Genomic DNA, 13,015 nt, shown 5'->3' with positions numbered 1-13,015 from the left:
CAATTGTCTTTATGTGCCAACTGACATTTACGCAGCCTTTTACACATCTTTTACCACGTAATTTAAATTTTAGAAGTTTTGATAGAATCATGAGTAGTATATAACCATGCAGAAAGCACATCACACTGACAGCACAGAGGCAAAGATTTTGCACAGGTATATCAGCTTTCCACATTGTGCAGGTTACACACAATGCAATATCAATCTTATTCCTAACAGATCCTAAAAAAGACATTTCAAGGACTAGCTGTAAACTACAGTACTTTATATGTCTATATTCTTAATGAAAATAAAACCCACAAATCTTAAGAAGGAACAATTTAGTGTAGCAGGGCTACACTAAATTGGTAAACTGCAACACAAATTGCTGCAACATAGGTAAATGAATACCAGTCTCACTCTATGTGATGCAAGCATGCTACTTCCCCACTAATTTAAATTACTTTCAACCACTATGAGCCAGAAAGCATGCCTAACCCTTAAACTGCACTTTAAAAAATAACATATTGGCCTAGAAATTAAATCTAATGAAGTGCAACCATCAAATTATATCCGCTACATTAATGTTCAATGCAAAATTAAGATGTCATCTTTAGTTTGATATACCAAGCCCCATTTATTCCACCCAGCCTGCACACCCCAAAAAAGGTAAAAGGAGTGACTCATTTGGCATTTCACAGGGTGCTTCATTGTTCATGTTTGTTTTGTTCTATTTCCAACTTTTTTGGGGTACCTTAAATTGTAACTTCCAAGAACCTGCTTCTACTATGGGAAGGCAAGCTGATTTTAACTATATTAGTTCTGTTTGTGCAGTTCTTCATCAATATGCAAAACAAAGCCCCATCATGTGGGAAAACTTGGATTAAAAAAAAAACTTTAAATAAAAAAAGAAAAAAGCTTCTTTACTATTTGTAACTCCCATTCTTAGGTTTCCTTTATTGTGCGCTATAGAATTGTTCCTCTTTCTTGTCCCTATGCATCATTTATATGGTTCCTGTTTTGGTACAATTCTCCATAATATTCCACAATGTGCTGTTTTGTGAGTAGACTGAACAGATTTTTTTTTTTTTTTTTTTTTTTTTGCTTCTTCAGATCCAGTGCAGAGTTGTAGCTGGAGACATATTTCAACCCACAAAGGCTCCACATGTTAAAACGTTTCCCAACATCAACCTAATACAGTGACAGCAACACCTCCCTCCTGCCCCTTCCAGTAGGGTTGAGATTGTAGTGTATTCCCTACCGGTTTACCCTTCCCCCCGTAAAGGGTAGTATTTTCCCTGGGTGCAGAGGCTCCCTCATAGTCTCCAAGACTGAAGGACCCCTAATTTTGGGACTGCAGCTTAAGTGTATTAAACACCATAAACAGCTGCAAGACGCTCTTTTTAAGGGAAGAGGAAACTGGTCAGAGAAATGCCTCCAATTTTTATCGCCTACTTGATTTTTAAATCCATGAAGGATCTTACACCGAATGTGTCTCTGAGATCATCTTTTGGGTTAATCCATGATGCAACAGCATCACAAAAAAATATAAAATCTTGGATTACACTACTGGGATTCACAATGATCATGGTACAAATTCCACGGAATGCTGAATCCTTTTCCTCATTGTCTCTTATGTTTCTCAGAAAGGTGCACCAGGGTCTTCATACTGCTGTAGCATGGGGGCCACCTCTTGAAGACACACGTAACCAAGACGACCAATCGTTATTGCTGTATTCTCTAACAATGTCTTTGGTGTGTTGGGTCTGTTAATGATTTCTACAAGCTAGTGCAACACCATAGGAATATAAGGCTGCATCTCTATATCCATTTGAATGGAGATTTCTCCAACTGCCTATGTGGCATTGTTGCAGACTGAAATGAATTCTGGATTTGGGTTGATTCCCAGTATTGGCATGAAATCAGCTATACAAGGCTTAACATGCTGAAAGCAAGCTTTTGTGAGGTCACCTAACAGGGCAAAATAACTCTGTCGAACTTCTAGCATTTTATCCTGCATCCACTGATGCATTAGTGTTAGGATGTTACTTTGGGCTACCAGCTGTTCAATGTTGCCTCCAAGTCCTTCAGCCAGGCCACTCAGTAAATCAAGAGACACTAACATAAAATCTTTATCTGGAGCTTCATATTGATCTGGTTGAGCATTGTTTAGCATGGCTTGGGCAAGTTTTCCTCATTGTCTCTTACACAGGTTCACAGTATGGAAGAAAGCCAGACTGCAGTGCTGTGGCAACTGAAGATAGGCACTCAGGTAAAGGGAAGAGATCCTTATCTTCACCATTTAACATGTTCCATTTCTGGGTCAGTGGAGGCATTAGCATCTGAATATATTCTGGTTTGTTTGAATGATGTCCTACTGAATCTGCTAATGTTCCTAAGGCATTGTAAAGCACGAGCAGGTTCTTATGCTGGTATTTACTAAATGCAAAGACCAGGGTATCAAGTATATAAGCAAAGTGAGTAACAGGTGCTGTACAAGCCTCCTCTTCTAGGCAGCAAAACCAGATACATGTTAAGGTCTTAGAATATTTATACTGTGTCTGTATGATTAAGATTAAGATGTCCAAGATCATCTCCATAAATCCTCCTTCAAATAATCCATGTATTAATAGTATAGAGGTTTCAGAGCCCAAGTAGGATGAGAAAGACATTGATGTGGAAAAGGATACGGTGGCAGAAGTGAAGTGGGTTACAAAGATGGAAGTTAATCAAATAAGAACAGTCGTGCACCATATAACAACATTTTGGTCAATGACTGACTGCATATAAAACTGGTCCCTTCAGATTATAACGGAGCTGAAAAATTCCTATTGCTTAGTAACATAATGATGTCATAACTATCATAACATCATAGTGCAGTGCATTACCTTTTCTATATTTAGATATGCTTAGATACACAAATATCGTTATTGTTACAATTGCCTACAGTATTCAGTAAGGTAACATGCTATACAGGTTTGTATCCTAAGAGCAATAGGCTAATATCACATAGCCTAGGTGTATAGTAGGCTACAACTTCTAAGTTTGTGTAAGTACATTCTATGATGCTTTCACAACAATGGAATTACCTAACACATTTCTCAGAATGTATTTCCATTGTTAAATAATGCATAACTGTAAATATTTTAAGGATAATAATGGAAGTCAGGTTTATCACCGTCAGAGATGGGGACTGCAAATATAGAAAGGGAAAAAACTAGAATTGAATCCTGTGGTGTTAGGATGGAATTGGTGGTATTAGTTTGAATTCACGGTTTTCAAAATATATAAATAATGTGGACATAAATATTGATACATGTGTGTGGAAGTATATATGTATATATATAAATATATTCCCTAGCTCTCACCACTGAAGATGCCTATGAGCAGCAACTTTTCAATAGCAGTGAGCACATCTAGCCCCCAAAACTTGGCTCTGAAACAGCATTTCCTAATAAAAAGAACAAGGGCTCTAGGAGAAATCACTCATTCCAGGCCTAGGGCAGAAAAAAATGAAAGATGAGACTAAAACATCTTGTACAAAAGAGCAAGGGAGTGCTCAAAGAATTATGAGAGAAGAAAAACACACAGGAGTCTGTTTGAAGGAGCACTCACTGGCCAGGAGACTGAAGAGACTAAAGTCCCTGATTAACAAAACCAACGTGTGATTCTAACACGGATCTTTTTACTATAGAAGATATTACTGCCTTCAGTTTTTGGCTCAGAAGAGGCCAAGGTGCAACTCTCTTTGGTTGTACCAAATCCAGGTTCATCCAACACCAGCTGCCTCCACCATGCTGCTGAAGTTCCACCCCAGCTTTGAGATCAAAGTTGTGTATCTGAGGTGTATCGAGGTAAAGTCAATGCCACATCTGCACTGGCCCCCAAGATCGGCCCCCAGGGCAACCAGTACCTCGAAGGATCTGAGAATTACAGTGAAACTGACTATTCAGAATAGACAGGCCCAGATTGACGTGGTACCTTCTCCCTCTGCACCGATCATCAAAGCCCTCAAGGAACTGCCAGGAGACAGAAAGAAACAGGAAAATATTAAACAAGGTGAAAATATCACTTTTGATGAGATTGTCAACATTGCTCGACAGATGTGGCACTGATCTTTAGCCAGAGAACTCTCTGGAACGATTAAAGAGATCCTGGGGACTGCCTAGTCTGTGGGCTGCAATGCTGATGGCCGCCACCCTCATGACATCATAGATGACATAAACAGTGGTGCGGTAGAATGGCCAGCTAGTTAAGAAGCACAAAGGAAAATATTTCAATAAAGGATCATTTGACAACTAAAAAAAAAAAAAAAGTTATTATTGGTCAGATGGAGAAACTTGAATGGGGTCCGAGGATTTGGTGGTAGTAATGCATTCATGTTAATTTTATGATGCGAATGGTTATTCTGTGATTATATAGGAAAATGTTCTTGTTTCCAAGAAGTATACATTAAAGCAGGAGTCTAACCCCTGGGCCATGGACCAGTACCAGTCTATGGCTGGTTAAGAACTGAGCTGCACAGCAAGAGGTGAGCAGCAGGCAAATGAGCATTACTGCCTGAGCTCTGCCTCCTGTCAGATCACCAGCAGCAATAGATTCTCATAGGAGAGAGAACCCTATTGTGAACTGCGCACATGAGGGATCTAGGTTGCACACACCTTATGAGAATCTAATGCCTGATGATCTGAGGTGGAAGGGTTTCATCCTAAAACCATCTCCATCTGCACTCCAGTCCATGGAAAAACTGTCTTCCCCAAAACCAGTCCCTGGTGCCAGAAAGTTTGGGAATTACTGTATTAAAGTATCTGAAGGCCATAGGGCTTCAGGTAGGAAGCTTATGTGCAAATGGCTCAAGGGGGTGGGAGGGAGTCATTTGTACTTTTTGCTGTCACTTTTTAATAGGTACAAGTACACTGGTTTCTGCATCACTTTGTAGAGATCATCAACACCATCTATCCAACCCTTCCCACCACTTCATGAGTATGAATGAATGTGGAAAATAACATTCTACAGTGGCCTCAGTAGAAAAGATAAAAAAGGCTATGTATTCACAGTGAAAGGACAAATGTAAACAAGGCAAAGTCCAGCCATGAAATAACCTTATGGATCACAAACCAAACTTTGAGACTTTATTCTAACCCAAAGCAATAGAATCTAAACATTCATACTAAGAAGAAACTTAATACTGATGCAGGATGTACGATAAAACCTGAGTTAAAGGGGCATAAACATCAGAAAATGAGAATTTTACTGAAGAAAAGCCCAGGCCAGGAGCGCTGTAATCCCAGCACTTTGGGAGGCCAAGGCAGGCAGATCACGAGGTCAGGAGTTCGAGACCAGCCTGGCCAGCATGGTGAAACCACGTCTCTACTAAAACTACAAAAAATTAGCCAGGCATGGTGTTGTGTGCCTGTAATCCCAGCTACTCAGGAGGCTGAGGCAGGAGAATTGCTTGAACCCAGGAGGTGGAGGTTGCTGTGAGCCGAGATCGTGCCATTGCACTCTAGGCTGGGTGAAGAGCAAGACTCCGTCTCAAAAAAACAAAAGAAAAGAAAAGTCCAGTCCTTGTCTTCAAAATTACTTCAGTGTGGCCGGGCGCGGTGGCTCACACCTGTAATCCCAGCACTTTGGGAGGCCGAGGTGGGCGGATCACGAAGTCAGGAGATCGAGACCATCCTGGCTAACACGGTGAAACCCCGTCTCTACTAAAAATACAAAAAAATAGCCAGGCGTAGTGGCGGACGCCTGGAGTTCCAGCTACTCGGGAGGCTGAGGCAGGAGAATGGCGTGAACCCAGGAGGCGGAGCTTACAGTGAGCTGAGATTGCACCACTGCACTCCAGCCTGGGCCACAGAGCCAGACTCTGTCTCAAAAAAAAAAAAATTAAAATTACTTCAGTGCAGGTATGAAGATCAATACAAAGTAGTATACTATAAACTGAAATAAAGTGCCAAAAGTAGGAGGAAGCAACATGATTAGACGTACGAAGAAAGGAGTAATTAATTCTAACGGGAAAGAGCCATTTATCGAGCACCTAAACACACTAAGTCAGTATCACAGCACAGAAAGATGAAAAGAGGCTGTCCTCACGATACAACAGGAAGGAGAAAGGCAGAAAACCAGGGTGTGATTTAAAGTGCCATGGGGTCTCATCATTGAACAGTTAACCCTTAGAGGGAGGGGAGAAAATAAAAGTCTGAATACAGCCTTAAAGGAGGAATAGATGGGAGCATTAAGAAAAATATAAATAATCTCAAATGGTCTTAGCCTGGGAATGTAGGCAAGGTAGCAGTAGTATGAAAAAGGCCCTGAACATGGATACAGATTTTTTTTTGATTTTAGATTCATGATGTGTAAGTTTACTCCATGAACATGTTGCATAATGGTGAGGTCTGAGCTTCTAGAAACCCATCACCCAAACAGTGAACACTGTACCCAATAGGTAATTTTTCAACTCTTATCCCCCACCCATCCTCCCCACTTCTGAAGTCCCCAGTATCTATTATTTCCATGTTTATGTCCATGTGTACCCACTGTTTAGCTCCCACTTACAAGTGAGAACATGCAGTATATGATTTCCTGTTTCTGACTTATTATACTTAGAATAATGGCCTCCAGCTCTGTCCATGTTGCTACAAAGAATACAGCTTCATTCTTCTTTTGTTGTTGTTGTGTTTTGTTTTCTGGAGAAAGAGTCTTGCTCTGTTGCCCAGGCTGGAGTGCAGTGACATAATCTCAGCGCACCGCAGCCTCCGCCATTGCAGCCTCTGCCTGGGTTCGAGTGATTCTTGTGCCTCAGCCTCCCGAATAGCTGGGATCGCAGGCATTTGTGCCACCATGTCTGGCTAATTTTTGTAGTTTTAGTAGAGACAGGGTTTAGCCATGTTGGCCAAGCTGGTCTTGAACTCCTGGCCTCAAGTGATCCGCCTGCCTCAGCCTCCCAAACTGCTGGGATTACAGGCATGAGCCACTAGGCCCAGTCTCAGTTTCATTCTTTTTTATGGTTGCATAGTATTCCATGGTGTATATACACCACATTTTCTTTATCCAATCAACTACTAATGGACACTTAAGTTGATTCCATGACTTTGCTATTTTGATAATTTATATTTATTGTGATAAACATACAAGTGCAGATATCATTTTGATATAATAACTTCTTTTCCTCTAGGTAGATGTCTAGTAGTAGGACTGCTGGATCAAATGGTAATTCTATTTTTAGTTATTTGCTAAATCTCTGTACTGTTTTCCACAGAGGTTGTACTAATTTTCAGTTTTCATTCCCACCAACAGTGTTATAAGTATTCCCTTTTCTCCACATCCTCACCAACATATGTTATTTTTTAACTTTTTAATAATAGCCATTCTGACTGGTGTGAGGTAGAATCTCTCTGTGGTTTTGATTTGCATCTCTTTAATGATTACTGATGTTGAGTTTTTTTTATGTTTGTTGGCTGCTTGTATGTCTTCTTTTGAGAAATGTCTGTTCATATCCTTTGCCCATTTTTTTAATGGAGTTATACATTTTTTTTCTTGTTGAGTTCCTTGTAAATTCTGAATACTGGTCATTTTTCAGATGCATGGTTTGGAAATATTTTCTCACATTCTGTAGGTTGTCTGTTTACTCTGTTGTTTCTTCTGCTGTGCAAAAGCTTAATTAAGTCCCATTTATCTATTTTTGATTTGTTGCATTTACTTTTGAGGTCTTACTCATAAATCTTTTGCCTAAGCCAATGTCCAGAAGAGTTTTTCCTAGGTTTTCTTCACGGATTTTTATAGTTTTCGATCTTACATTTAAGTCTTTAATCCATCTTAATTTCTGTGTATAGTGAGAGACAGGGGTGCAGTTTCATTCTTCTTCACATGGCTAGCCAATCTGCCAAGCACCATTTACTGAATAGGGTGTCCTTTCCCCGTAGTTTATTTTTGTTGGTTCTGTCGAAGTTCAGTCAGATGTATGCATGTGGCTTTACTTCTTGGTTCTCTATTCTGTTCCATTAATCAATGTGTCTACTTTTATATCAGTACCATGCTGTTTTGGTTACTACAGCTTTGTAGTATAGTTTGAAGTCAGGTAATGTGATGCCTCTGGCTTTGTTCTGTTTGCTTAGGATTGTTTTGGCTGTTTGGGGTGTTTTTTTGGTTCCACTTGAATTTTAGGATTGTTTTTTCTAATTCTGTGAAAAGTGATGTTGGTAATATGATGGGAATTGCCTTGAATCTGTAGATTACTTTGAGCAGTATGGTCATTTTAATGATATTCTTCTAATCCATAAGAATGAAATGTTTCAATTTGTTTGTATCATTTATGATTTCTTTCATCAATGTTTTGTACTTCTCCTTGTAAAGGTCTTTCACCTCCTTGGTTAAATGTATTCCTGGGTGTGTGTGTGTGTGTGTGTGTGTGTGTGTTTATTGTAAATTGATTTCAGCTCTCAATTTGGTTCTGTTTGAGCACTGATGGTGTATGGATATACCAATTTTTGTATATTAATTTTGTATCCTGAAACTTTACTGAAGTTATCAATTCTAAAAGTCTTTTGGAGGAATCTTTAGGGTTTTCTAAGCATAAGATCATATCAACAACAAACAGATAATTTTACTTCCTCTTTTATAATTTGGATGGCTTTTACTTCTTTCTCTTGCCTGTTTGCTCTGGCTAGGACTATGCTGATAGGAGTGATGGGAGTGGATATCCTCGTCTTGTTCCAGCTCTTAGGGGAAATGCTTTCAACTTTTGCCTATTCAGTATGATGTTGGCTACAGGTTTATCATATAGGGTTCTTATTATTTTCAGGTATGTTCCTTTGATGCCTAGTTTGCTGAGGGTTTTTATCATGAAGGGATGCTGTATTTTATCAAATGCTTTTTCTTCATCTATTGAGATGATCATATGGATTTTGTTTTCTGTTTATGTGGTGGGTCACATTTATTGATGTGTGTATGCTGAAACATCTTTGCATTCCTAAAATAAAACCCACTTGATCATGATGAGTTATCTTTTTGAGTTGCTGTTTGATTTGGTTTGCCAGTATTCTGTTGAAGACTTTTGCATGTGTGTTCATCAAGGATACTGGCCAGTAGTTTTTTTCTTTTGTTGTGTCCATGCCAGATTTGGGTACCAGGATGATATTGGTTTCATACAATGAGTTAAGAAGGAATTCCTCCGCCTCCTCCATGTTTTGGAATAGTTTCAGTAAGATTGATGCCAGCTCTCTTGCATGCCTAGTAAAATTCGACTGTGAATCTGTCCAGTCCTGGGCTTTTTTTAGTTGGTAGTTTTTTTAATGACTAATTCAATTTCATTATTCATTATTTTTATTTCTTACTGGATCAATCTTGGGATGTTATGTTTGCAGGAATTTATCCACTTCCTCTAGGTTTTCTAGTTTGTGCACATAGAGATGTTCATAGCAGTCTCTGATGATCCTTTGTATTTCCATGGCATCAGTTGTAAAATCACCTTTATCACTTCTGATCATGCTTATTTGAATCTTTCCTCTTTTTTTCTTGGCTAATCTAGCTGGCAGCCTGTCAATTTTGTTTATCCTTACAAAGAACCAAGTTTTCATTTCATTGATCATTTTTATGATTTTTTAATTTCAATTTCATTTAGTTCTGCTCTGATCTTTGTTATTCAGATACAGATTTAAAGCAACAACAATATGATCTCACCAGAGTTTAATGAAAACAGTTTGACAGTAGTATAATATTGTTAAATAAAGTGAAAAACTAGCAAAATGTAGAGAAGGTGCAACCACCTGAGATAGTATATGTGAATACACATTAGAAAGAATAAAGCACCTCAGCCGGGTACGGTGGCTCACGCTTGTAATCCCAGCACTTTGGGAGGCTGAGGTGGGTAGATCATGAGGTCAGGAGATCGAGACCATCCTGGCTAACATGGTGAAACCCCGTCTCTACTAAAAATACAAAAAATCAGCCAGGTATGGTGGCGGGCACCTGTAGTCCCAGCTACTTGGGAGGCTGAGGCAGGAGAGTGGCGTGAACTCAGGAGGTGGAGTTTGCAGTGAGCCGAGATCACACCACTGCACTCCAGCCTGGGAGACAGAGGGAGACGCCATCTCAAAATAAAAATAAATAAATAAATAAAAAGATCAAAGCATCTCTGGTCTCTTCCTTAGAGTTAAATAACCCAAGCGAAGTAAAATGTCACAGATACAAAATTAGAGAGCAATTAAAAACTTCCTAAATTCATTCTAAAACTCAAAACCAAGTAAGGCAAATATAAACCAGGTTTGATATTTTTATATTCTTCTTCCATATTTTTGGACTAGAGAAATTCCAAATTTCAGTGCAAATAATCTAGGGAACTCATATACCCACGCAAACACTGCTAAGAATATTATGACATTCAGCAGACATTTAAATCTCAATAAAGTCTAGCTGTATCAGTCACAAGGTAGAAACCCAAATCTAGCCAGCTCTCCTCTTAGTAAAACACAGATTAAAAAATGTAAATAAAATGTGTTAGCCTCATGAAAATGAAGGCATACCTACTTGTTGGTGTGTCAAAAGCATACAAGTAAGTTTTTGGATCTACCTTTTAAAGTGAACAAGAATCTCATTTAAATAAGGAGTTAAACTTCCCCACTATGTGAAGATAAGGCAAGGCTGATAAAACAAAAATAAAGCCAGATACTTTCAGTGATGATCTGATTCAAACACTTCTTTGGGCCTCCTATAAAAATCATTCCAAAAATAAAGGCACTCCATGTGATGATTTAAAATTATCACCTCCTAAATATTTCAGTGTTAGAAAATCAATCATCATGACATTGTAGTTCAACTATTCTTCAATGAGAGCTCTTGTATTGTCCTAGCATTGCTGCAAAGAAGATTCTGAGTATGGCTCACTGTGTTTACAAGAGAAAAAAATGTTTTTGCCTAAGATTGTGCACATACAATGATTATAATATTTATCAGAAAAAATGCTATATTTAATCAAGAAAGTTAAATATCAGTTAAAAGTTTATTGAGTTCAAAAATTCTGAGACTGAGAGTGTAACAAGTAGTAAACTACTTCCTAACCTATTAGTGCCAATTTACTCAACTCCTCTAGAATTCATCCTAGTCTGAAACCAAAGGTAGTAGGTAGTCCATAGCTATTTCAAAGGACTAATATAAAAGATGAGGAACAAAAAAAGATGCTATCATGAAGTAAAGAAAGATAACTTCATATCAGTACCTGTGTCAGGAGTCCCCAAGCCCACTCCCAAAATAGAAAATTCACTAAAAGGAGTCAAAGGATTCAGCATACAGTAATATTAACAACTAAGATTTATTCCAGCAGGATACAAAGCAAAATAAGAAAGGAAAAGTCACATGGGGCAAAATCAGGTGAAAGCTTCCAAGAGTCCTCTCCCAATGGAGTTACACAGGATGTGCTTAATACCTCCAGCAACCAGTTGTGACAATACATGCAAAGAGTGCAAAGTCTTGTCCACGACGGATGTTCTTTTTTTTTTTTTTTTTTTTGAGAAAGCCTTGCTCTGTCACCCAGGCTGGAGTGTGGCATGATCTGGGCTCACTGCAACCTCTGCCGCCCGGGTTCAAGCAATTCTCCTAGCCTCCCGAGTAGCTGGGACTACAGGCACGTGCCACCACACTCGGCTTATTTTTGTATTTTTAGTAGAGACGGGATTTCACTGTATTGGTCAGGCTGGTCTTGAACTCCTGACCTCAGGTGATCCACCTGCCTCAGCCTCCCAAAGTGCTGGGATTACAGGCATGAGCCACCGCGCCCGGCCCACCGTGGATGTTCTTAAGAAACTCAGCTCCCAAGGTTTCACTGGGGGATGGTCTTGTGGGTACCCTCTGCCTCGCATGTATCAAAATTCTAGACTCCCAAAAGGAAAGCAGGTAGTCAGCATAAATCACATTATCTGTGCAAACAGTTTAGGCACAGCAAGCCTACTGTGCTCTTATCATTTATGAAAAGTTTTATAGCACTCTAAGGAACTGTTTACCAGCCAAGTGCCAACCTTTCAAGCGGGTTATCTAAGAAGAGGCAATCTTAGACCTGCGACATTAACTCTTTTCTGCATAGCACCCCAAGCATATTGTGGAAGAATATTAATGAGTGTAAATTATTGTGCCTAATACCAACTTCGGATGAAGTCTTAAATGTAAAACAAAACAATTAGAAAGCAAAATAACAAACATCTGCTGAGCTCTTGTTATATCCCTGGCATTAATAAGTACTTTATATATATGACCTCATTTAATGTTCATAGTAATCCCATGAGTTAGTGAGAGATGATACTCAAAATACACAACAACCAGTATCACCAGGGAATCACATGACTGTCATACCATTCAGGCATGTACTTCCTAACATCAGCCCTGGAGGTGCGTACAATTACCATCTATATTTTTTAAAAAGGAACACAGAGAGGCTGGGCATGGTGGCTCACGCCCTGGGATTACTCCCAGCACTTTGGGAGGCCGAGGTGGGCAGATCACGAGGTCAGGAGATCGAGACCATCCTGGCTAACACGGTGAAACCCCATCTCTACTAAAAATACAAAAAAATTAGCCTGGCGTGGTGGCAGGCACCTGTAGTCCCAGCTACTTGGGAGGCTGAGACAGGAGAATGGCGTGAACCCAGGAAGGCGGAGCTTACAGTAAGTCGAGATTGCGCCACTGCACTCCAGCCTGGGCGACACAGCTACACTCTGTCTCAAAAAAAAAAAAAAAAAGAAAAGGAACACAGAGAATCCAAGGAGACACAGCTAGTACATGACAGAGGTGAAGTTTTAACTTAGCTTGTTCCGGAGCCCTGGCTCTTAATCATTATGCAATAACATCTCTCTGTAAACAAAATACCTCTATGGCCTTAGGATGGGAATGGGTGTCTTACACACACACGCCATATATGAGCATGTGAAGCAAAAACAATGAAGTAAAACATTACTAGATTTAATTGTCAAAAGCAAAAACTATGAACGGTAAAAAGATACAAAAAACAAAACAGAAGCAACAGGCTCAGAGAAGATTACTGCAACACATT

General features: G+C 39.4%; 1 protein-coding gene and 2 pseudogenes across 13 annotated transcripts in view; 1 reads left to right on the top strand and 2 right to left on the bottom strand.

Moving 5' to 3' along the window:
* The window catches only part of CCSER2 (coiled-coil serine rich protein 2), a 189,929-nt gene that overhangs the window by 125,119 nt on the left and 51,795 nt on the right, over positions 1–13,015 (bottom strand). The window lies entirely within an intron of this gene.
* Positions 1,153–2,500, bottom strand: TNPO1P1 (transportin 1 pseudogene 1; annotated as a pseudogene).
* Positions 3,689–4,279, top strand: RPL12P29 (ribosomal protein L12 pseudogene 29; annotated as a pseudogene).

This window comes from Homo sapiens, chromosome 10 (genome assembly GCF_000001405.40).
Source record: "Homo sapiens chromosome 10, GRCh38.p14 Primary Assembly".
In the NCBI taxonomy this organism is placed as follows: domain Eukaryota; kingdom Metazoa; phylum Chordata; class Mammalia; order Primates; family Hominidae; genus Homo; species Homo sapiens.
This window is presented reverse-complemented; position numbering and strand designations above follow the sequence as displayed.